The sequence below is a fragment of the Homo sapiens genome, chromosome 13 (genome assembly GCF_000001405.40).
Source record: "Homo sapiens chromosome 13, GRCh38.p14 Primary Assembly".
Lineage (NCBI taxonomy): Eukaryota > Metazoa > Chordata > Mammalia > Primates > Hominidae > Homo > Homo sapiens.
The window spans coordinates 19,047,681-19,074,509 of NC_000013.11; the positions used below are offsets into that span (position 1 = coordinate 19,047,681).

At 51.6% G+C, this 26,829-nt stretch overlaps 1 long non-coding RNA gene and 1 pseudogene across 1 annotated transcript in view; both read right to left on the reverse strand.

Moving 5' to 3' along the window:
* PHF2P1 (PHD finger protein 2 pseudogene 1) lies at nt 215-15,103 on the reverse strand (annotated as a pseudogene).
* LOC107984132 (uncharacterized) overlaps nt 26,354-26,829 on the reverse strand; it is a 44,250-nt gene continuing 43,774 nt past the window's right edge. Inside the window, exon 5 of the long non-coding RNA NR_146902.1 lies at nt 26,354-26,581. This is a non-coding gene — a long non-coding RNA (uncharacterized LOC107984132). The remainder of the gene's footprint in view (nt 26,582-26,829) is intronic.

Here is a 26,829-nt window from a genome sequence, read left to right on the forward strand (position 1 = left end):
CAAGTGTGAAGAGTGGAGCAGGTGTGATTGATACCTGCACCGAGGCCGCGCACACTCACCCCTCTCAACCCGCAGCCCACTGTTCATTCTACAACAAGGGACAGTCCAATCAGAAAGAGAGGCCCAGCCTGTTCAATCCAGCCCTACGTTATACAGATGGGGAAACTGAGGGCCAGGAGGCTGAGTCCCAAGAGGAACTGTTCAGGCAACAGGAAGGCGACACTCACACCCAGACAGTCAGCCCTGAGCCAAGTCTGGCCTCCCTCATAACCAAGAGCCCCAGGCTTGGACACCCACCCTGCAGCAACCAGTACCTTTGAACGCCTCCAGCAGGTGCTTCCCCATGTACCAGCAGGCAGTTTTGAAGTTGGGAAACTGAGTCAGGCTGCCTAGTTTCAACCTCTTTTCAACTTCATATGCTCTGGAAGCCACCAAAGAGCCATTCTCAGTGCACTGACCATCAAGCAGGCGACGATGGGGGTGGGTCCAAGCCCCAGACACACCAGCTCAGGCTTCCCCACTGGGCCCTGCATAGCTGAAGTGGACCAGGGGACAACCGCCCTGGGAGGCTGCAGGGCTCGGGGCCCACGAGAGCTCTGTCAGTGCCTGAGAAGAGAAGGAAGCAGGATTTTAAGCAACCCCAACCCCACCAAGGGCGACTATGACTGTCCAGCAGCCAGGTCCCTAGAGGGGCCAGCCTGCACGACCCCAGAGCCCATCTCCTCCTTCCCTCCACATCACGAAGAGGCCCACCAAGACTGACGGTCATGTCCAGGTCACCCACAGGCAGGATGAGCCAGTGCTCGGCCCAAGGTGTCCAGCACCGACCCCGCTAGAGGGAGGACGCTGCCCCACAGAACCTGAGGGCAGACAGCAAGGCAGGCACTACCTCCTCTGCATCTGCATGCTCAGGCTGGGGAGGAAATGTCCCACGAGGGCCAGGCAGTCCACAGGAGTGAGCGTGGCACAGATGCAGTCTCAGAGAGAGGCAGGAGTGGCTGGCACCCGACCTCGCTCCCATGAACGGGCTTCTCATGGCTCCAGATCCGAGAGCGGCAGAGACCAGCACAGGCCTTCCCCGGCCCAGCCCAGGCTCCAGCTCCTGCCCGCCTGTGCCTTGGTGCCCTGTCCACCTCTGCAGCTTCACCAGCAGCCTGGGGCCTCCCTGGGAGAAGCTCTCTGGCCCTGGCACCACCCCAGCCTCCATGGAAGGGGGTTGGGGTAGAGGCTGCATCTGAGGCGGCACAGACTAGTCAGTCCAGCCCTGCACCACACAGACAGGGAAGCCGAGGCCCAGAGCTGAGGAGACTCGCTCGGGCCACATGAGCGCAGTACTGAGAGAGAGGAAGCCCCAGCCTGTGTCCAGCTACCCGGCCTCCCAACCACACTCAGGGGCAGGAGACAAGGCCGGGGCAGCTGCATCGCCCCCAGAGCTGGGACTGGACCCCGGGTCATCCTCGGAGACGGAGCCTGGGCCAGATCCTGGGAAATCCACAGCTCTTTCCTAAATAGCTGTGACTGTGAGGAAGCCAACGGAGGGAGGAGGGACCCAGAGATTACAGAAGATTCTGAAGCTTATAAATCATTAAAATGTGAAGCCCTCTGTTTGATACTTATTTAAAATGAAGGAAAAAAACCCTATAAAACAATGTGAAAATCTAAACACCAACAGACTATTTGACGATACTAGCGAATTGCTGTTAATTGTTCATTTTTTGAGGTGTGAGAACAGTATTGTAGCTGTGTTACCTTAGAAGGAAAGGAAGCCCTTCAGAAATAGTGGAATATTTAATGAAACAGCGGGATATCTAGGATTTGTTCTAACATCATCTAGGGGCACACAGCGGCTCATGATGGGCTTTCTCCTTCAGCAAAGACTCAAAATGTCCCCTAATATTGCCTTAATTAGCAGCCAGTGCCTTCCTCCCTCACTGGCTCTGATGCCGTGGCTGCTGTCCCCACACAAGGCTCTCTGAGCTGGGTCTCCAGCCATGGGCTCAGTCACAGTGAGCCCAGCCAGGCTGTGAAAGGGGCTGACTGGCTGTGCAGCTCCAAGGTGGCCTCGGTGGTGAGGAGTGCCCATGCTGACCAGACAGCTCCACTGCGGGCCCCTCTGCAGGGACTGGGCCGGGGTGGCGTTAAGCTCCGGACAAGGGAGCAGGCATGTCAGGGATGCAGACAGATCCCGTGGTGGGGACACGGCCCGAGGGACAGGGGAGTAACCTTGACGAGGGCCCGCAAGCCCTAGGACACGGTCCCCAAAGCTGCCTGCACTCACCTGAGGGGATGAAGAGGGTCTGGCCCTGCTTGACGATGCAATTGTAGCATTTGTGAACCTGGTCAGCAAAGAACATCTCGCTGTGGTTAGCGGCAGACTATCAGCACTCATACAGGAGATGTCGACCGAGGCCAGCCTGATGAGATAGAAGGTCTTCTCCCCCTGCCAAGAGAGCCTGTTGGCAGAGCCACCCATGCCAGGACATAGGGTGGGAGTGCAAGTGATAGGCCCTAATGTGAAAAGTACCCTACCCAGGTCCATGACTCCTGCCTGCACCACTGAGGGCACAGGTGCTTTGCAATTCAGAAGTGTGCGTGTTAGGAAGGTTCTGGGTATCTGCGCCCCCAGCATAGTCAAGAGCTAAAGCCCATAATCCCACATTACATAGTTTTGAGGCACTACAAACGGTGTGGGTGCCCAGGTTGCAAATAAAGCTGTAACTGGCTGTCAGAAGCATTCCAGGTAGCTCCACTCTTGAGAGCCACTTGGATCCCAGGCTGGGTCAAATGATGCCACTGTGTCCCAGGCAGTCTTATGCCAGGCCCCAGGAGGGGTTCTGCACTGGGAGCAGCGAGACCCCTGTCCTACTGCAGCAAAGCCAAGGCAGGTTCCGAGGATGCCCCAGTAACTTGCTCAAGGCCTCCCAGAGGTGGGATCAGCACGCGCACCCGCCCCCAGCTCCAGCTCCAGCGTGTCTGGAGAAGCTCAGTTAGCAGCTAGGGAAGCCCAAGCTTAGGGTTTCCTTTGTTTCTGTTGCTATTTACATCTTATTTTTCTTCTGGCTTCCCTCTCTTGGCCTTGATGATGAGGATCCTAGCCTTCCCTATCCACTCAGATGCCCCCATCCTGCCCACTGGCTCCTGTGCAAGGCCCTGGCTACGGCTGGCCCCTCTTCCAGGATGTCTCCGCAACACCCACCTTTCTCCTCTAAGTGCACGGTCACCTAGCACCCTCACCCAAATGTTATTGAGCCTGAATCCCATTAGAAAAAGGAGACACTCGTGCAGTTCTCTGATCCCACATGCACCCCTGCCCCTCCACCCAGCGATGTCTCCATGGCCTTCTGTTCCAGGGATGGATGGTCTGGGGCCCACTGGGGAGTGGCATCTTGGCCACAGTCAGGGCTCCCAGGGACTGCAGACGATCTTGCAGATGGGTCATGGCCACGGCAAAACTGAAGTCCCCCAAGGGGTGTGGCTCACCTTGAGCACGTGGTACCAGGCGGAGGCGCCCCCACAGTCGATGTGGAAGTCGGTGTAGCTGTCCTTCACACAGATCAGGCAGGACTTGGTCACTTTGGGCTTGGCCAGCAATGCATCATCTGGCCAGTTTTCTACCCGGAACAGTTTCTTCATGGTGTCAGGTGGCTCCACGAAGCTGGACATTCTTGGGGTGGGACAGGAAGGTGGTGAGGGAACCTGGGACTCCCTTTTTGATGTCCCCTGGAGCAGGAAACATGCTCTGTGAGGCATGTCCCACACTCTCTCACCACCTGCGGGCCACAGGTCACAGCTCCCGTTTCACAGAGGAGCACACAGGATCACAGAGGGCAAAACGAGCCCAGGCGCTGGCTGTGGCCCTGGCGGGAGACTGGATCTGATGCTGGCCTCCACCCCCAGAAGACAATGAGAAGGCCCCAAAATCATCCACCCGAGAGGGAAACTCCTTTCCCGGGAACTGGAAAGTCTTTCCAGATTGGCCACGTGCATGTGACTGTAACGTGCGGGGCTGGAGCATAGATATCATTTCTCACACTCAGCCCAGGTGCCTCTGGTGTCACCTGGGTAACAGCCACTGCTCTTCAGAGCTGACAACAGGGCACCCGCGACCCCTGAGGTCACTGTCAAATCCAGCCAACTCACATCCAGGGAAGATAAGGAAATGCAAAGGCAGCCTGCGATTCACAACAGCCACCCATACAGGATCTCGTGTGTGAGTGTAGGTGTCTACATGGGTGTGTGCAAGTGTCGGTAACTGTGCCAGGGATGAGGGTGTTGGGAGTGTGAGTGTGTCAGTGAGTCAGTGTCTCAGTGCATCAAGGATGTGTGTCATAAGCATGTCATGAGTCTGAGTGTGTCAGTCCTATGTATCGAGTGTGTCCACAGGTGTATCCGTGAATGTCCATGAGTGTATCACATGTCCATGTCATGTGAGCGAGTGTGTCGGTGTGTTGTCACAAGTGTGTTGGCGAGTGTTTCCATGAATGTCAGTGTACCGTGTTGGTGAGTGCTGTGTGTCATGAGTGTGTTCATGTGTCCGCTGTGTCGTATCTATGAATGTGGCATGAGTGTGTCCATGGGTGAGTGTTGTGAATGTGTCATGTCCTGGTGAGTGTGTCCATGAGTGTGAGTGCACCACGTGTCTGAGTAGGTATGAGTGTGTCATGACTGTGTGTGATGTATCTATGAGTGAGCATGTCATGTGTGTCCACAAGCGAATGTAAGTGTCATGAATGTGTCATGTGTTGGAGTGTAGATGAGTCAGTGTGTCATGAGCGTGTCTACAAGTTGGTGTCATGAGTGGAGTGTGTTCATGAGTAAGCGTGGATGTTGTGTCCTAAGTGGGTGTGTGATAGATGTGTCTGCATCATGAGTGTGTGCATTCTGGGAAAAACCACACACCATTACCAATGGTTCTCTCCGAGGAGTGGGATGGGGGTGGCCAAGGTCAGAGGCAGCTTTGCCTTTTTGCTCCTTATTTTTGTTTGAATTGTTCACAACGTGTCACCTTCATACATTAAAAGAAAAACAGCTGTGGGCCAGTCTTTAAGAAAAAGGAAGAAAACAGGAAAAAAATTTAAGAGAGAGAGAGAAACAGGAAAAATCAGTGCGTGCCGTGTGCAGTATTCCAGACTATGAGACCTTCGTCCTGTGCTTCTCAGGCGACTGCCAAGGACAGCACAGAGCCCCTGCCCCAACCCCATCCCCCACACCCCCATGGTGTCGGCGCTCACTGGGTGTCGAAGAACTCAAGGTTGGTGATGGTGAGGACCCGCTTGTGGTTGGTGATGTAGTCATAGTCCACAAACTCCTGCAGCTTCATCTTGCAGTCCTTCTGCTTGGTGACATCTGTCCCAGCCACACTGCACTGCAGCCATGGGGCGGTGGCGGGCGGAGCCTGAGCACCCTGGGAAGGTGGCACAGCCTCCCGAGGCCAGGACGTGTACAGTGGGCACACACCCTTGGCTGCCCTCACACACGGCAGGAGCTGCCAGTGGGCACACACCCTTGGCTGCCCTCACACACGGCAGGAGCTGCCAGGGGCTGCATGCTGAGGCTCTGGGTGCCAACGTCCAGCTTCACCCACCTGCTTTTCTCTTGGCTCAGTGAAGTGCCCCGACCACTCTTCCTCTGACCTGGTGATGCTGCGAGGTGGCCAGGTGACAGGCCTTAGCGAGGGTGGCCAGATTAGCAAATGAAAACACAGGACGCCTGGCCTGCCTGAATTTCAGATGAACAACAAATACGTTTTGGTGTATGTTCCAAGTAGTTCATGAGACCTACCTACATTTTAAAAATTAAGCTATCAAAACCCCTTCATTTGTAGGGCACCAATTCATTACTCTGATAATTGGCAAACTGATAAATAAAGGGAAAATCCTTTTCTGTAGTTAACAAAGAAAAGTTCAGGCTAACCACATGAGCTGAGGAGGAAAATTTCTTTATAAAGACTCATGACTGATAGAGGGAGAAGGAAGGACAGAACTGCCAATCACCCTTTGCAATAGTTCTCCATGGCTGCGCTGACCACAAAGCGCAAGGTCATGGGATTAGTGTGAACAGATGAGGTGGGTGCCGGGGCCACTGCCATTGTCTGCATCACTGCAAGTGTGTGGCCAGGTATGACAGGCCTCCCCACGGGTGGAAGCACACCCACCCAGAGGGAGTCCTGCCACAAACCTGAAGGCAAGTCAAGTAAGCCTCTAACCACGAGTTTAGAGCAGGTCCTGGGACAGAGGGACCTGCTCAACGACACCACTGGGGATGCTGGCAACCAAATCCTGGATGTGGGACATTCTGCAGGGCCAACATGGCCTTCTCCCCAACAAACTAACGGGATGGAAGGAAATGGCACTGTCAGAAAAAAAGATACTTCAGAAACATAAAAACCAAATGCAATGTGGAGGTCTCATTTGGATTCCACAGCCAAATGTAGAAAGGCATTTTTGAGGCAATTGAGAAGAACTAAACTGGGTCTTACACGCCACCGAGGAATTATTGTTAATATTATCAAGTGCGATGATGGAACTGTGATTACGTATTTTTTAAATTGTCTGCTACAACTATATAATGGAATTTTTATGGGTGAAATGATGTATGTAAAAAGATTTTTTCTTGTTGTTTTTTGAGATGCACTCTTGTTCTGTCACCCAGGCTGGAGTGCAGTGCTGCGATCTCGGCTCACTGCAACCTCCACCTCCCAGGTTCAAGTGATTCTCCTGCCTCAGCCTCCCGAGGAGTTGGGACTACAGGTGCCACCCACTACACCCAGCTAATTTCTGTATTTTGAGAAGAGACAGTGTCTTGCCATGTTGGCCAGGCTGGTCTCGAACTCCTGGCCTCAAGATATCCACCCACCTCAGCCTTCTAAAGTGCTGTAATTAAAGGCATGAGCTACCATGCCTGGCCAGAATTTCTTTTAAAATACTACAAGAGAACAAACGTAGGGAGGCAGAAAATCGGCTGAAAACTGGTGGTTTTTATTTCCAGTGTTGGGTGTATGAGGGCTTACCGTTCCTTTAATTTTGTGTGTGTTTAAAAAGTTCCATCACAAAAAAAAAGTTAAGAGGAAAAAGAAAGACAAAGAAGCAATACAAACTATGAACCATCTCCCTGCTTCTTCAGGAACAGTTGCGGAGGGAACAGGGCCAGGGGACAAACCAGGCCCTGTCTGCATAATTAGATGACCTCAGGGCCTTGGTGGCAGAGCTGGCCCCACCTCTCAGAGATGTGGGAGGGAGGAAATTAGCTCCCACATCAGAAGAGCTTAGAAAAATGCCTGACACTGAGCAGGCCCTCACCTATATTAGCTGTTGTCCTGCGTGCACCATGCCTGGGGCTGGGAAGGTGACAAAAAGCACTGGCCCAGCAAGTGTGAACATTACGGCTGCGGTACACAAGGCTGCCAGACCAGCATCGTGCAGTAAGCCCACCAGATGGCCATGGCCCTCTCTCTACTCAGGCAAACCTGCAGCAAAGCCGAGCACAGGCAAGACAAGGGGTTGGATCCTGGCTCAGGGCAGGGTCAGCCACAGAGCTACTGCCACAGCTCAAACCAGGCCCAGCCTGCCCTCCTCCTCAGTGAGAATCCCACAGAATCAGCTCCTTTGCATGGACCCCCAACACCTCCACCCCAGGTACCGGGATGAGCCTTTTCTAGCCCCTCTTCCTGAAATGCCTGACAGCTCCCACAGTGCTCGCTCTTCCTCCTCACCACAAGTCTGGGAGCCCAGTCTCAGTGGCCCCAGGGTGGCTGTGTGGCTCGAGAGAAGAGACGTGGTCCCAGGCCCCTGCTGAAATTGAACTTGTTGGCCTCCTGATGCGTGCCCATATGTGCCCAAAGGCTTGTACAGATGACCTCATTTCATCTCCAGCACACACCTCACGAGCGGTGCCCAGAGGAAGAGAGTGAGGCTCAGAGTGGTGGGAGTAGTCATCTCGGAGCCCCAGCACCAAGAAGCCAGTGTGCCTGCTTGCCCAGCTCCTGTCCTGGGCATTTCCCTGTTCAGTGTTTTCCCTCCCCGTGCCGGCCATCCATGCATCCCTCATGAGCACCTTGAAGCCCTGCAACCATGCACGGCCTCCATGCTTGGGCGTGTGACCACTGGCCTATCATGGTCACTGCTAGATGTGCTGGCCTCTCCCTGCCACTGGCTCTCAAATAGCATCCCCACCGGTGCTTCCTGCACCCACAAGTGCCCACCTGAGCCCAGTAGATCTGGAGCTGCAAGGGGACATAAAATGGGCACTGCTGATGGCGATGGCACTGGCTAGAACCCAGATGGAATCCAGACGAGGAGGAGACTTCTGGTGCCATGGGGGCAGGTCAGTACAGATGCGGAAGGCCAGGCATCCGGCCAAGTGCCTGGCCAGGCAGCCAGGATGGTGACATATGCCCCAACACCAGGGACTCCCGGGCATGGTGGTGTCATGTAGCACCCACAGGAATGCAATTCATAGCTGCCAGAATCAAAGGGTCTCCCAGACCAGCCCCCACTTTGCAGCCAGAGTATCTGGGAGGGCAAGGGACCTGCCAGGTCACATGTCATCTCAGTGGGACACAGGGTCTGATCTAAAAGCACTGAGAACAGAGTACAGTGAGCCTTGAGCCTCCCCTGCTCATGGCACACATGGGACACAGCCAGGGCCAGGGAAACAGCACGCACAATGGTGGGCGCCCCAGCACTCCCAGTTCAAGCCCCAGAGCACTGTGAAGGGGATGGCGCTTACCCACGTATTTCTCGACATTGCTTACATGGAACGTGGGGGCCGGGACAGCCAAGCCCAGCCCGTCTTTCTTAGGGATGAGGATGGGCTCGGTGAAGCTGTGCTCCTCCATGTGGCCCAGCGTGAGCTGACTGTCCGGCACATGGGCCACTATGTCTTTAACACTGCAAGAAAACACAGGTCAGAGACCACGTCAGGACTGAGGCCTCCTGCACCAGAACAAGTGTGGACAGGGCCTCAGTGCTGGAGAGGCGAGCCTGGGTCTGGCCACCCACCTCCACAGTCACAGGAGGAGGCCTGGCTGCGGTGCCGCATCTGGGACCATAGGGCAGCCAGGGCAGATGCAGTGCTGAATCCAGAACCCCACGTGTCAGATGGAGACGCTGAGCCTGTCCACCCCACGTACTTCCTCACACTGCCCAGGTCACACCTTCTCCTGGGGCACCAGGTACGGACATCTTAGACTTTTTACATGTGCATGTGAGCACATGTGCACACATCTCTAGTGGACTATGTGCCCATGCAACAATGCATGCACACACATGCATGCACACACATATGTACATACACGTGCACACACCCCTACTGGACTTCAAGTACCTGGGGGAGGGACGCAATCTCCTCTCCACACTGTTATGTCCCTAGCTCCCAGCCTTGTATTCGACCAGGCAGAGAAGAGCAGCTGGGATAAGGGAGGCCACTGGGGCACGCAGATGCCTCCTTGGGGGCTGCTTCGCTGAGTCTGACACAGGCTGACCCTTGAGCATAAAGGGACTGAATTCAAGAGCAGAGCCAGGCAGGGCCCGTATGGTGCCCATCCTTCACAGACGAAGGCGGGGTCGGGGAGTGCAGAGGACAGGGGCCTCAGAAGACCATGTCACCCTCCTGAGTCTCAGTGGTTGTGGGGACAAAGGAAGCTGACAACCACCTAGTGACAATGCCTGTCTCTGAGCAGGATCTGCTACCAACACGAAGGAGCAGGGCTGGGTGGAGCTGGGACCTTTTATTTGCAAAGAATCTTCGCATTATGTTCAATCTTCTTGCCCGCAATTCAAGTGGACGTTATGGAAATTTGGCAAAATCTGAGAGTCAAGGCCAGAAACCAGGACTTCTGAGGGAAGCATGGGGCACCACAGATGAGCAATAAAAGGAGTTCAAATCTGTCTTTCCCAATCCTCTTCTAGCTGTGTGACCTTGAGCAAATTACCTGACATCTCTGTACCTCATCTTTACTAGAAACGCTCGCACGGCCTTGTTGGGTGGCTGTGGGATGTAAGTTGGCACATGCACACTGTCTGCGCCAGACTCCTCTGGGCCTTTCCTCAGGGCAAAGCCACCTGGTGTGGCAGGTGCTTGTTCATGGGCAGAACATGCTCACAAGCTGGCTTGGTGCTCCTAACAGACCCTGGGCTCATCCCTGTGTGCCCCCTGCACCCAGTACTGGGCCCAGCACACAGTGGGCACACAGGGGGAGTGTCCGCGGGCAGATGAAGCCTCCCATCCTTGTCACACTGGCTGCTTGGCTTCAGAGCATCTTGGAAGAAGTGGATGCATCTGCCTTCGTAACTATCAACAGGGAAGGCCCAGTTCAGCCCATGCTCCTGCCCTCTTGCTGCCAGCCTGAGCCAGGCAATGCCAGGGCCACAGATAACTCCAAGCTGCCCTCCTGTTGCAGTTTGCAAGCACTCACTGAATAGCTTGGCTCCGTGCAAGGCTGGGGACGCTGGAGCAGGTGTCACCTAAGTGACAGATGCTTGGGAGTCCCTGCTTCTTAGGAGCTGAGATGGGCAGGGAGCCAAGGCAGGCCCTAGAAGTGTGTGTGTTGAGATGTTTGGCCCAGAGGGTAAAGGAGTTGGAAAAAAGACACCCCCAATGACAGCCCAGACCCTCCTGACCCCCGCAACAATCCTAAGCCTTGGTGACTGTGAATACCATCACCCTCCTGCTGGGCCTGCTGCTACCCGGGGGAGTGGATATCCAGGGAGTGAGGGGCTTCAGAGTTCACAAAGTGCCTTCCCTGCCTCGGAGGGCCTCGTGGAAATGGAGGCAGTTACGTGCACTCCGTGGGTGAGCCAAGTAGGACCCAGGGAGGAAACTTCCAGAGCTGAGCTTTCTGCACCAAGCAGAGCTCCCTGCCTGCCCTCAGGTCATCACCGGCGAGGAGCACCAAGTGTGGGCAGGGCTCCAAGGAGGGGCTGCAATGAAGGCCCAGGACGGTGGCAACTCAGGCAGGGGCATGAGGCAGCCCTGAGGTCATGCAGCAGAAGTGACACTGCAGCTGGGAGAGGCCTCGGTGCTGGCTGAAGAGGCCAAGGAAAAGGAGGCAGCCCACAGAGACAGGGTGCCACGGAGGGGAGCCCGCAGGGGCCCAGCACTGCCGGCAGGGTGGGGGCGTCCTCCGCGTCACCTGTCTGCATGGTTACTATGTCATCAATCGCACTCCTGTCCGAGGATGCTCAATGAGGCCAGGGTCCCCCGGCTACACCTGTGTTCCTCTTCTCTCGTGGGGCGGGGTCCTCACTTCATGGATGAAGCAACTGAGGCCAGAGACGTGGGGCTGTGCCAAGGTCGCCAGCAAAGGTACACAGGAGCAAGGAGGTCGAATGCCCTTCCAGCTACACTGGCACAGGGCACCCTGTCCCAGAGCCACATGGGGAGCATGATGACAGCATCCCTGTGATGGCATACCCACGGAGATGGCCGCTGAGCAGTCACCCCAACTCCACAGAGCGGGACGGGATGAGAAAAGTCAGTTCAATAAGATGAGTGACTGTGTATACGTCAGAAGCTGCAGCTCAGGGCTGCTTCTAACTGCTATGCAGCTTCCTCATCAGATGGGGACGCCTTCCCGAGTTCCTGGCCAGGTACCCTGGGCCACCCTGTACCAAATCAGTGTCAGTCAGGTAAACCTATGGGCCTATGGCCCCTGCCACAGGCCATGGCCAAAATCAGCTCAAGGGACATGTTGGGACAGCACAGGGAGGGACCCTGCAATCCTCACCACCGTGGCTTTCAAAAAGACGGGTGAAGCTTGAGAACCAGGCCTCAGGCACAGCTAACTCTGGGAACCCTGAGCAGCCCCCATCCCCACCCGCAGGCCAGGGTGGCAGGGGCAGGACAGGTGGAGGCAGGCTCAAGGCCTCCAGAGGTTCCTAGTGCTGGCTCAGAGCTTCTCCAGGGACACGGAGAGGTCCTCTTGTCCCCAGGGTGCCTTGGCGTGCAAGGCGTGGCTGCAGTCAATGCAAACACCAAATGGGGCATCGCAGACAGGCTCTGGGCACAGTGCACATTCACTTCAAATCTCAACATGCACACTGGTGGAAGGTGCTAGAACCGTGTACCTTTGTCCCCGATGGAGCACATAGCCCTCAATAACGACTAAAAATCTGCCTCACGGAATTTATATAACACACTCAGCACGTAGGCTTGTGCATGCAGATACACGTGCATGCACACACATACACACATACACACGCACACAGCTGAGAACTGAATATCTGTCCCGCCAAAATTTATCTGTTGAAATCATGACCCCTAAGGTGACGGTTTTAGGAGGTGGGGCGTTTGGGAGGTAATGAGGTCCTGAAGGTGAAGTCTTCATTAATGGAATTAGTGTCCTTATAAAAGAGACCCCAAAGAGCTGCCTCCTTCCACCATTGTGAGGACACGGCAAGAGGGCATTGTCTATGAACCAGAAGCAGGCCCTCACCACACAATCAGCCAGCACCTTGATCTTGGACTTCCAGCCTCCAGAACTGTGAGCAATAAATTTTCTATTACTTAAGCCCTCCAGTCTGTAGTATTTTGTTATGGCAGCCTGAACAGAGTACGACACAGGCACGCACATACACATGCACAAATATGTAAGCACACGCACATGTGTACAGCCAGGCAGGGGCTGGGGGTCCCACCGCCTGCAACCTCAGCACTGTCTGCTGGTCTAGAATGTCTCTCCCTGGGCGGTTGGCTATAGAAGACAGAAAGGGGAGCCCGCACTGGGGTTTTAGCTGCATTCGAGGGCAGGCTGGGACACCACACCCCTGCCTAAACTCCCCACAGGCCCAGGGGCAGGGACTGGGTGAGGCAGGCACACAGGACTCCCATGGCAGGTGGGCTGTTTCTGGGGATGCCTGGAGACATTAGACAACTCGAAACTGAGTGCTCACCAAGGTGCAAAACCTGCCTAACCCCAGCACTACATCACTGCTCTACCCCATCCCCAGCTCATGCAAGAGACGCCAAGCAAGGAGCCCTTGAAACCTATGCTGCCTATGAGAAGAGGCCCCTGGCCCAGGAGTTTCCGACACTTTCTTCCCCATCAGTGTGAAAGCCTCTTCCCAAGTGACGCGCACGTGTACCTGCTGCGTGAACCACACAAGAGCAGCGCCACCCCAGCATCCTCCCAAGACCCCACTCAGGGGCCCTGAGCGGGACCTGCCCCCCCAGGAAAGCACCTCCTGAGGTGTCCTGGCTCCAACCCTGCTCTGCCCTGACACCCACCCCCAAGCCAATAGGGGCAGCCCCAGGTCCCCACTGGAAGCTCAGCCCTGCTGTCATAAAGACAGCACAGCCCTGAGCTTTTTGGGTAGGCTCAGTAAGGTGGCAGCAGCACGAGGATGCCCCACCCTGCCGGGCTGATCCTTCCTACCTTTTATCTGTTTTCAAGCAGTAACCAGATGATGGGTTAATGAGCTTGCCACAGGCAGATGCTTTCTGAGCATAAATGCAGCCAACTACTGGGGACCAGGGGTAAGAAGGCAATTTAGGAATCCCTGAATCTCCCCACAGGCAAGCCATCAGCCTGTAATTCAGGAAGAGCTACTAGCTTCTCCTCATCACCCTCTTGCATATTTCATGGTGTCTGCCCGCGTGTTGAGGCTGCGCTGGGGATCAGGTCGAGATCTGTTCTCGACACATGAAGCCCCCACCATTGTCCAGCAATGGACCGGCATGAAGCGTTCAGGCCTTGGGAGAGGCCAAGAAAGAGCAGCCAGGTCTCCAGAGTAGTGGGACCCTAACCTGCCCCAGACCCCAGCACCACCAGCTGCCAGGCTAGGCCTCCAAGGCTCCCTCGACCCAGCCTCAGCCCACAGAACAGGGGTGCTGGGGCCCCTTCCACCCATTGCCTGCATCCTCCCTCCACCCCCACTGGTTCCACAAGACCCATCCCACAGGGATCCATGAGTCTGGTGCTTCAGCTTGCAACTGGGCACTGGGAGGGGGCTCCCTTTGAAGGAGAGTGACTCAGACTGGCTGTAATCTGGAGCCAGATGCATTCCCTGCCCCACTTTGTCCAGGGCTCAGGTCAGCAGGAATGTGATCAGCTGACCCAGCCACAGCCCACGTCCAGCCTGCAGCTTCTGTGAGCACCCAAGACCCTCCAACGAAGGGGAACCCAGAGGCCACATTAACACACACACACACCCACAACCATGTCATCTGTCCTGTCTATAGGCCACACCCCTCCCAAGTCCTTGAAGACCACCACACAGCTCCCCCTCCACAACCAGGGCTGAGGTTTGGAGCTCAAGGCTCACGTAACCTCCAGCTCACCTGGATGAACCTGCATAGTGTGAGGCAAGCCTACACCCCAGAACCCACCACACCTGAGAGGACCGAGAAGAATACGGAGCTTCAGCCCTTAGGATATGCAAACAGCAGGTTGTGTGGGAAAGACACAGGCCCTCCAAGCTTCTCTGCAGAGGAGGAGGTGGGTGAGATGAGGCGGGGCTGAAAGGGAGGAAAGGACAGAGCCCACCCACAATGCACATGCCCAGAAAACACAGACAGGCTGGGCCCCCAGTGTGGCAGTGGCTGGCTGGGCCGGGCTAGCCTGGGGACCCCTGGAAAACCCCCACATCACCATTTATCCAGGTCCCCAAGTCTGTGTCCCCCTAACTCAGGCTGGCTTGGCCTCTCCCCTGGCCTCAGAAGGAAGGCCCTTTGGGTCTTGGCGCAGCTGCCTCTGCCAGCGGGAGCTGATCAGGAGGGGCTACAGTGGGCTTAGTGAGGCTACAGGGGACAGTAAGCTAGGCCGGAAGGGCCCCCAGGCCTAGACACTACTCAGGGCGTTTTGCCCCCAGCAACCCAGGGCCCAGGCCCAGCAGAGACCTCACCCTCTATGCAGCCCAGGCAGGGTGGATGCTGCTCTCTTCAGCAAGAGGTGGCCGCTTGGGCTGCGGTACTTACAGGTGGACTTCACATGGGTTTTCTCATAGTTTGGGCAGTGGTATATGCCGATGTCGGGGGCCTCCTCCTCTTCCACTCCCAACACAGCTGAAACAAGATGAAACAGACCATTACCTAGGCACTCAGCACCCCCTCAAACACTTTCCATCTGCCAAGCTCTAGGGAGAATCCCTGCTCAACATCTGGGAACCTAGGCCAGATGGAGCACAGCTGTGTAGGGAATGTGGTCCACCGGGAAAGCAGGGCGGAGGAAAACAGCTAGAGAGATGTCACCCTGGAAAGGCATCTGCAGCCTGGACCCAGATGCAGCATCTGGATATGCCCCACTATGAGAACCCAATGAATGGGCCATCCGGCAGGCCTGCCAGGGTGAGGGTCACCAATGCCCTGTCACCCAGAGGACAGGGAAGGAAGAGAGAGTCTCAGAGCCAGGCTGTCCCCATCACTTCACCAGAGGTAGCCTGAGGGGGCAGAAAACACCAGAGGCAGCTTGAAGCCCCCTCCTGTAGGCCACACCATAGCCACCAATCCAGCTTATCCTCACGGGGGCCATGAAGAGGCCCAGACACAGGCCTAGCAGCCTGGTCTTGGGACATGCCCAAGACTCCAGACACCATGACCACTCTTTCCTCATTCCCTCCCTGGAGTTCCTCCAGATCCCTTGTAAACCTGCTTGGAGATTTAGAACAAGAGAGAGCTCCCCCTGTGCAGATGGCAGGGCTACAGGCCTTAAGTCATCTGAGGAATGAAGACAAAGATTATCAAAGAACACAACCTAAGACATCAATAAACTTCTCCAGAAGCAAACCCAGCAAAATGGAAATGCTTTGTTTTATTTTGATACCTTCTACTTTTGTTTTAGTTAAAAGTGACATGAGGCCAGGCCCGTGGCTCATGTCTGTATTCCCAGAACTTTGATAGGACAAGGTGGGCGGATCACTTGAGGTCAGGAGTTCCAGAGCAGCATGGCCAACATGGTGAAACCCTGTCTCTAATAAAAATACAAAAAACAAATTGGCCAGGGCATAGTGGTGCATACCTGTAATCCCAGCTACTCGGGAGGCTGAGGTGGGAGAATTGTTTGAACCTGGGAAGCAGAGCTTGCAGTGAGCCAAGACTGCACCACTGCACACCAGCCAGGGCAACAGAGTGAGACTCCATCTCAAAAAAAAAAAAAAGAGTGACACAAGAGTGGCCAAATAAAACTGACCAGTAAATTAAAAAATGGACATTTCCCCCAGGAAGCCCCAAAATGTTGCTATGGGAGGGGGTCAGGGCAGCAAGCTACCTGGAATGGAAGATACAGATGTGCATGAAGCAGACTGTTTTCACTCAGGGCAAACAAAAAAAAAATGAACATAAAGACACTGCTGACCTTAAGGAAATAAAAAAGGATTATAACAGAATACTATGAAAAAATTATAGGTCAATAAATTATGTAACCTGGATGAAATGGAGAAATGCTCAGAAGCACAAAAACTGCTACAACTGACTCAAAAACAAATAGAACATTTGAACAGACCTATAACAAGAGATTAAATCCGTAATCAAAAAACCTCCCCCAAAAAGAAAACCCCAGAGCCACCACTAGTGAATTCTATCAAACATTTAAAGAAGAACAACATCAATCCTTCTCAAACTTTTCCAGAAAATAGAACAGGAGGGAACATTTCCTAACTCATTCTATGAGGTTAGCATTACCCCAAGTCCAAAGCCAGACAGAGACACTGTAAGAAAAAAAAAACCACAGACCAGTATCTCTAATGAATATTGATGTCAAAATCCTCAACAAAATGCCAGCAAATGAAGTCCAGGAGCACATTAAGGGGATAACGCACCATGACCAAGTGGGATTTATCACAGGAATGCAAGGACGGTTCAGCACATGAAAATAAATCAGTGCTTCAACCCCTGAAGCATCACATCTGACTGCAAGAAGAAAAGAATGCAACCCTGGGGCTCTGTCCTGGAGGCTGGGAAAGCAGAAGTTGTGCTTCTCTTTCCTTCACCCAGGAGGACAGATCTCATCAAGTGGGTAAAATACAAGAAGCAGCAGGGCTCACCCGGCTCTTTCTCCTCAGCCGGCACAGCCCTCTGCCTCATTCCTATGTTCCCATCTCTCCCGATCCTTCCGCAATTCGCCATCCTTCCCAAGACACATTACACCATATTAACACAATGATGAAAAATCCTACATGATCATCTCACAATTGATACAGAAAAAGCACTTAACAACATCCTTTCATGATAAAAACATACCACAAACTAGCGATAGAGGGGAACAACTTCTTCAACATGATGAAAGCCATGGATGAAAAATTCACAGCAAACATTGTATGCAATGTTGAAAGGCTGAAAGCTTCTCCCATAAGATGAGGAACAAAATAGGATGCCTATTCTTGCCACTTCTATTTAACACAGTACTGGAAGCTCTAGCCAGAGCAATTAGGCAAATAAAATAAAATAAAAATAAATCCTGAAGTAAAGGAGTCAATTGCAAAGGAAGATATAAATTTATCTTTATTTGCATACGACATAATCCTATATATATAAATACTCTAAGGAATTCCTACATAGAAAAACTTTCTACAGCTAATAAATTCAGAAGGGCTGGGCACAGCAGCTCACACCTGTAATCCCAGCACTTTGGGAGACCCAGGAGGGTGGAACACAAGGTCAGGAGATCAAGACCATCCTGGCTAACATGGTGAAACCCCGTCTCTACTAAAACTACAAAACATTACCTGGATGTGGTGGTGGGCACCTGCAATCCTAGCTACTTGGGAGGCTGAGCCAGGAGAATGGCGTGAAACCGGGAGGTGGAGCTTGCAGTGAGCAGAGATCATGCCACTGCACTCCAGATTGGGCAACAGAGACTCCACCTCAAAAAAAAAAAAAAATTCAGAAGTTGTAGGTGCAAAAACAACACACAAAACCAGTTGGATTTCTATACACTAGCAATGAATAATCTGAAAATAAAACCAAGAAAGCAATTACCATTACAATAGCATCAAAAGTAACAAAATATTGATATGTAAGAATAAATTTAACCTAGCAAGATTTGTACACTGCTGAAAGAGCTCTTAAAGGCTGCAAATAAACGGAAATACATTCTATGTTGATGAATTGGAAGACTTAATAGTGTTAGGACAGCAATACTACCTAAAAGAATCTACAGATTCAATGCAATCCATACCAAAATCCTAACAACTTTGTTTACAGAAATGGAAAAGCTAAGAAAACTTACATTTCCTGATTCAGAACTTACTACAAGGCTATGATAAAACAATGTGGCACTGGCATAAGGACAGATATATAGATCAATGGAATAGAACTGAGGCATCAGAAATAAACCCACACATCAACATCCAATTGATTTTTGACCAGGGTTCCTAGACCATGCAATGGAGAAATAATAATCTCTTCATCAAATGATGCTAAGGAAGTGGACATCCACACGCAAAGGAATAATGCTGGATGCCTACCTTACACCACAAACAAAAATTAACTAGAAATGGATTGACAGCCCAAATATGAGCTAAAATTATGAAACTCATAGAAGAAAACATTGCAATAAATCTTCATGACCCTGGAATTGACAATAGATTCCTAGATATGTATGTCACCAAAAGCATGTCCAATAAAAGAAAAAACTGCTAATTTGGATTCCATCAAAATTAAAAACTTTTTTGCATTAAAGGACACTATCAATAGAGTAAGAAAGCAAGTGAGTAACAGAACAGGACAAAATATTTGCAAACCATAAATATCACAAGGGTATGGCATCCACAACATATAAAGAACTATTACAGTTCAACAATAAAAAAACAAACAATCCAATTAATAAACAGGTAAAGGACTCGAACAGATATTTCTTCAAAGAAATATGCCAGTGGCCAAGAAGCACATGAAAAGATGCTCAATATTCTCAGTCATTAAGGAAACTAAAATCAAAACTACAGTAAGATACCACTTCACACCCACCAGGATAGCTACAATTTTTCTTTTTTTTTTGAGATGGAGACTTGTTTCTTCTCCCAGGCTGGAGTGCAGTGGTGCAATCTTGGCTCACCGCAACCTCTGCCTCCGGGGTTGAAGCAGTTCTCCTGTCTCAGCCTCCCGAGTAACTGGGACCATAGGCACCTGCCACCACACCTGGCTAATTTTCGCATTTTTAGTAGAGACGGGGTTTCACCTTGTTGGTCAGGCTGGTCTTGAACTCCTTACCTCAGGTGAACCACCCACCTTGGCCTCCCAAAGTTCTGGGATTACAGGCGTTAGCCACCACATCTGGCCAATTTTTTTTTTAAGTAAATGTTGGAAAGGATGTGCAGAAATCATAACCCTCTTATATCAATAGCAGAAATATAAAATGGTGCAGGCACTGTGGAGAAAAATTTGATGTTTCCTCAGAAAATTAAACATAGAATTACAATGTGACCCAGCAATTCCACTGACACATACGTACCCAAAATAATTAAGAATAGGTACTCACACTGGGTATTGTGGCTCAACCCTTTAATCCCAGCACTTTGGGAGGCCAAGGTGGGCAGATCACTTGAAATCAGGAGCTTGAGACCAGCCTGACCAACATGGCAAAACCCCATCTCTACCAAAAATACAAAAATTAGCTGGGTGTGGTGGCACATACCTGTGGTCCTAGCTACTCAGGAAGCTGAGGCACGAGATTCACTTCAACCTAGAAAGCAGAGGTTGCAGTGAGCTGAGATTGCACCAGTGCACTCAAGCTGGCCAATAGAGCAAGACTCTGTCTCAAAAAAAAAAAAGAAAAAGTAAAAGAAAAAAGAAAGAATAGGTACTCAAACAAATCCTTGTACACAAATGTTTCTAACAGTATTATTCACAATAACCAAAAAGTGGAAATAGCCCAAATGTCCACTGTCAGGTGAATGAATAAACAAAACATGGTCTGTATATACAATAGAATATTATTCAGCCTTCAAAAGGAATGAGGTCCTGATACATCCTACAATGTGGATGAATCTTGAAGGCATTATGCTAAATGAGAGAAGCATGACACATAAGGACTAATGCTGTATGATTCCACTCATGTGAAATGATAACATGTTTATAATAGGTCTATCCACAGAGACAGAAAGCTGACTAGTGGTGCCAGAGTGGGAGAAAAGAGCAATGAGGAGTTACAGTTTAGTGGGTACAGAGTTTCCTTTGGAAATTGAAATATTTTGAAGCTAGATAGAGGCGACGGTTGCATAGCATTGTGAATTTACTAAGCACCACTGAATTGTTAACTTTAAAATGATTAATATTATGCTATGTAAATTTTAACTCAATAAAAGAGGAAAAAAAAGAACTTACCCTTGTAAGAGTGACATCATCACCATGGCCTTCACCACCATCACCATCACCAACATTGCCACACCATCATTATCAACTCCTCAACCACTATCATCACCACCACCATTATCACCAACACAATGCCACACCATCATCACCTCAACCATCATCACTACCACCACCATCACCATCACCACACCATCATCATCATCACCTCCACCATCATCATCACTATCATCACCATCACCAGGTGAGGCGAGACAGGAGAACTGCTTGCACCCAGGAGGCGGAGGCTGCACCATCACCAACATTGCTACACCATCATTATCATCATCATCTCAACCACTATCATCATTACCACCACCACCATCATCATCACTCGCCAACACTGCCACACCATCATTATCATTATCATCTCAACCACTATCATCACCACACCATTACTGTCATCTCAACCAGTCATCACCACCACCATCACCAACACTACCACGCCAGCATTATCATCTCAACCACTATCATCACCATCACACCATCACTGTCATCATCATCTCAATCAGTCATCACCACCACCATCACCAACACCACCACGCCAGCATTATCATCATCTCTACCACTATCATCACCACCGGTACCATTATCATCACCAACATCACCACACCATCATTGTCATCACCCCCATCACCATCATTATCATCACCTGAACCACCACCATCATCCTCCTCATTATCATCATCACCAACATCACCACCATTACAAACTCCATCATCACTAACTCTGGCTGAGCACTCACTGTGAGACAGGCAGCATGCCAAGAACTCTAATAGCATTGTTTTCCAACAACACTGAAATAATGGGAATTCTTATTATTAGCCTTATTTATCAGAATATGGAAATTGAGGTATGAGAAGTGCCTGCCCATACACAGAATAGTCTCCTTATTCATTCACTGGGGATAGCACTGCCCTTGCTCTTAGAGCATTTACACATGCAAATGAATCCAGGCAAAGAGATGGGTGGGCCTGGCCCAGAAAAAACACTTGTTAGGGTGAGCTGTTCCTACTGGTGCCCAATGTATCAGACTAACCCTGCCAGGCCACCAGCGTCTTGGGCCCCAGACGAATGTTCTCTTCCACAGCCACCACAGTCCTGAGTTCTGAGAACAGAGCAAAAAGCCCAGGAAAATATCTTGGCAAATTGTTTTTGAAAATATAAAATTCACTGTATCTTAGAATACAAGCTAAAATAAAGTCCACGCAGTTCAAAGAGTCAAGTGTAAAAGAAAGGCCATTGGCTGGGCACAGTGGCTCATGCCTGTAATCCCAGCACTTTGGGAGGCTGAGGCGGGTGGATCATGAGGTCAGGAGATCGAGCCCATCCTGGCTAACACGCTGAAACCCCGTCTCTACTAAAAGTACAAAAATTCAGCCAGGCATGGTAACACATGCCTGTAATCCCAGCTACTCAAGAGGCTGAGGCAGGAGAACTGCTTGAACCCAGGAGGTGGAAGTTGCAGTGAGCTGAGATCGCACCACTGCACTCCAGCCTAGGCGACAGAGTGAGACTCCGCCAAAAAATAAAAAATAAAAATAAAAAAGCCACCAAAAGCACAACGTGAGGGAATACTTGTCTGCTCTGCTCTCAGGGTGCAAAGTGACTTTCTTTATAAAGAAACAAACAAAAATTGGAAAGGAAACTCAGCAAGAACATTGATGGATGAAAATCATGCTCCAAAACACCAAAACAAACTTTAAAATGCATGCTATGAAAAATATTTACATCAAATATGGCAAAATGTTAATATTCTTCCTTCATGCAGTTTATACTAAAGGTGTCTTCCTAATAGAAGTAAAGGCCCAAAGCCAGGAACTGTACCAGGGCACAGCACTATGGCACGTGAAGAAGAGCTCAGCACAGAGGAGGGCAGGACAGGGCTGCAAAATGTCACATGCACTGACCACAGTGTCATGTATACCTCAGGTTCTCATCAGTGACACCAACTTTCAGTCACATGCAAAGACTTGTGGGACCGGATAGCTGGGAGCTGAGGACAGTCCCTTCAGTACCATCATTATTCATTTCAAAGACACATGTTATAATACATTGCCCTGGAGGGGAGCCAGTTGAGCTCTTGCAGCCCAGAAATTAGACCCAGAATCCACACCGTATGTCAGACCCCATATCCATGTTGAGACCCCAAATCCACATCCACAGCCACATCCACGCTCCATGTCCATGCCCACATCCATAGTCACACCCATGCCCAATGTCCACACCCTCACCTGGACCCCAGGCTGTGCTCTCACTGCAGCATCTGGAGCAGATGAAGCCACAGGATGACCTATACCACCCTGACCTGGTTCTGCACCATCCCAGCAGGGCCTTGCACGCACATGGACCATCACACACCCCTACCTGCCAGGTCTTTATGGGTTGGTGCTGACCCTCAGGCAGAAGGTCAGAGGTCAGACCACCAAACTCAGAGTAGAACAGACAGACTTGGTGTTCAGTTAGCAGGACCAGCGGTCCCTGAAACATGCCTGTTCTTGGGGCAAGACTTGGGGTGAGGGGCTGGAGACGCCAGGATCCTCACAGGGCCTTTGGGCAGGAGCCCTGCTGAAGGACTCGCTCTCCAGGCTAGAGGTCCGAAGTCCAAATGGGTCTCAATGGGCTAAAATCAAGGTGTGGGCAAGGGCAGCTCCCTCTGGAAGCTCTAGGAAGAATCTGTTTCCACCTCCTCCAGTTCCTAGAGACCACCTACACTCCCTGGCTCCTGGCCCCTTCCATGTTCAAAGCCAGTGATGGCCAGCCGAGCTCTCACAGACGTCACCCTGACTCTACCCTCCTCCTGCACTCCTCCCCTCCTAAGGACCACTGTGAGGACACTGCAGCTGCGGAGTCATGCAGGGCAGCCTCCCCATCCACAGCTGGGTGAACAGCCCCAACTCCATCCACAGCTTCCCTTCCTCCTCTCTTGCCATGCAACTTAAAGTTGCAGGATTAGGACATGGGTGCCTTCAGGGGCTGTTATTCTGCCAACCGAGCTAAAGAACACAACTCAGGGTGACCTCAGGCTCAGCATATGGACAGGCTGGCTGGGCCCTCTCTGGACCCCAAGCCCAAACTGCATGAGGCCCCAGCTGTGCCTGTTGAGTGTAAAGAAGTCCTAGTCTCCTCAAACTCCATCCCTCTGGCATCCCAGGCCTCACCCCTCCCTGTGATGTAGCAGGAACAAGGTGCCAACAGCCATGGTGAGCCAGTGACTCAGCACAGGAAGGTCAGGTGGGGATCTGGTCCTCACACCTGGCCCCGCCCTCCATGCAGTGCCCACTTGTGTGGCTCCAGGCTCTGGGCCAGTGTCTGTTGCAGGACGCTCTGCCCTGGCACAGCCTGTCCACTTACACAAGCAAGGGCCCCTTGCGGGCTTCCTCCTTTCACACCACCCACCCCTGGGCCACCTGCTGGCAGGATGAACTGGGTGGCACAGGTGACAGGCCTCACCTTGACCAGGACAGCTGCCTCAGTCATCATTTGCTGCTTTGTACAGGAGACCCCAAGAGACTGAGAGAAAAGAGAAATGGTCACAGTGGAAGGGTCCTTCTGCTGCCCAGAAGCAGCTCAGAGGACCAAAGGCCGCAGCACCCCCTCACCACCTGGGTGCCTGGGCCAGAGGCAGGGGCTGCATCCAGGGCCTGCACACTAGGGGGTGACCACCGGGCTGCCCCTCCTCCCCCGCCAAGGCTGAAGGAAGTGGACCCTCCACAGGGATCCAGGCCAGACCCCCTGCTGGCACTGATCCTACATCTGCATCGCTGCTCCAACCCCCACTGCCTGTGCCACCAGCTGTGACAGTGGCCACTTGGCAGGTGAAACTAAGTCTTGGGGCTTTCATCTTGGTTCTGTCACTAGCTGTGGTTATATGCTGAGGAGACAGCACCTAACTCCCGGGGCCGCTGCTGGGATCCAGGGCCCCAACTGTGCACGCTCCAGCACACTGAGCTCCATCGGGGCCATCCTGTCCTCACAGGAGAGGTTGTTTGCTGACACTGGGCATGTATTTTATTGTACCAGAATTAAGACTCTCTTAATGCCCCCTAAGAAATTACTTGGAAAATTGGCAAAATGAAAAAATAAGCGAATAATAGCTACAGAAAAATGGAAAACATTTTCCTTGCACTAAAGCTAGGAGCATAAGACACTGAGAATCTGAAGAAGACTAGCTAACACCAAACCTGTTACGGCATCCCAAGGCCATGTTAGTGGATGAGTTCTTATTTCAGAGACAAAAACAGGCACACACTTCCCATTAACACAAAACCAACCTCACCTCCTTACTAATGTAGAGTGGCCAATTCCCAGATGTCCACATGCTTGAGGGCTGTGGGTGGCTTTCCTTGCATCTCAGCTGGCAGATGGCCTATTGTGGGACTTTATGATCATGTGATTTAATACTTAATAAACTCATATATATATCTTCTATTTGTTCTGTCTCTCTAGAGAACCCTAACTAATACAGACACCAAAGAAAATGGCCAAGAAAAAGAAAACCGAAAGCGGTCAGGGGTGGGGAATGTAGAATTCACACTTCCAGAGGCCCCACAATTGTCTCTGAGGATCTCTAAGAAGCCTGTCTGCTGTCTAGGAAGTCAGCCCGCTCCCCGCCAAACCTGCACTGCCTCCCAGGTGCTGGTCTGGCTGCCTAAGATCCTCAGGCAAGGGCAGCCCCAGAGGGGAAGTGGCTCTCCTGAGCTCTTCCCACAGGGATCCCTGCTCTGCAGACAGGACACAGTGACTTTCTCATGGGTGACATGGAACTCTGAGCCCAAGCATGCCAGTGACAGCCCTGCTCATGGAGCTGTAGCCCTGCTGCGGGCCACAGGGCACTGCCCCCCATGGGACCTTTGAGTGGGCTAGGTGCTGCCTTCAGAGGGTCTGGAGGGTCCAGCACAGAAGCCCAGCCAGGGATGACTGACACTTGGCCCTGGCTCAGAAACCCTCCGACCATGCCACCCTCCAGACCAGGGCAAGTCTAGAAATGATCTCCTGATCACAACTGGATTGCATTCCTGGTTTCTTCTATTGTTGTTAAGAACATCTGTTTAATGTAAACCATAATTTTTGAACCTGATTTTGACATTAAAAAAAAAAATTGGCTGGGTGCGGTGGCTCACACCCGTAATCCCAGCACTTTGAGAGGCCGAGGTGGGCTGATCACCTGAAGTCAGGAGTTCGAGACCAGCCTGGCCAACATGGCGAAACCCCATCTCTATTAAAAATACAAAATCAGCCAGGTGTGGTGGCACGTGCCTGTAATCCCAGCTACCTGGGAGGCCGAGGCAGGAGAGATCACTTCAACCCAGGAGGCAGAGATTGCAGTGAGTTGAGATTGAGCCATTGCATTCCAGCCTGGGTGACAAGAGTGAAACTCCATCTCAAAAAAAAAAAAATTATAGGAGAAATAACAAAAAAGGAAGTGGCCTCTTTCATTACCAGAGGTGAGGCAGACAGGCAGAGCCTTCGCCTTACTTTGCAGCCCTCTGCAGCATCTGGCACAGGGTTCAAGGCACACTGTCGGAGCTCACATCGGTGTCAGGCACACATTCAAGCTAGAAATGTCCCTCTGGCAAGGCTTATCTTTTAATAATACAAATTCACAATGCAGGTGGGGCTGCAGGGCAGGCACTCTTTCCCTTCTAGTCAGGAGACTAACTTGGGAAGGTGTTGCTAAACCCCAGCAGTATGTATCAAAAGCTTTAAAAAGATTTGCACCCTTCAGGCCAGTAATTCCACATCGACAAATCTATTTTAAGGCAAAAAGCACAAATGCACCCAAAGATTCATGTTAATGTGGTTCCTCCCATGGTTATTTAAAATAGCAAAAATTAGGAACACCACACATCTCTAGCCAGTAAGGGTCAGGTAACCAGGGCATGATGTGCTCATGTGATGGAGTATTACACAACCATTAAACAATGGGTTGTACAAGTTTTAGAGTTTAGAACTTTACAGTCTAGGCAGACACTAAAAACTACAGCCCTTTTTTCCCTGGTGCTAGGCAGCGGCTACGTTCTTCTTTCCCTTTTACTTTTCTGCGCTTTCCTAAATCACAGAAAATGAGCATGTGTTCCTTTTATAACAAGCAACGAAAGTCCTGCTTTATTTTTAAAACCAGAATGGCCCCCAACAGCTCCCTTCCCAGCTCATCTCTTCCTGGCTTTCCTGTGTCCTGGTCCCCTGCAGAGAAGGCCTCCTGAGCCATCAACCCTGGAAGGAGGCGGAGGATCCCTGTCTCCGGACCAGTGGGCAGATGGATTCCGGCTGTTTGGAGTCCCCCAGGTGTCTCACAAGGAACCTGTGGAGAGAGGGGAAGAGGTCAAGTGTTAAGGGGCTAACAGGATGGCAAAAAAGGCCTCCCAGCACAGCACATGGGGCATCACCTGAAGCCTGTGACACCCAATGCACGCACAAACCCTGGGCTGTGATTGCCACCAACAACTGTGTGACTACAAGACGTACACAACTTCAGTGAGTCTCAGACTCCTTCTCTGCAGAGAGTGGATCATCATATCCAGTAGAAGATCAACGACTAAAATACTGGAG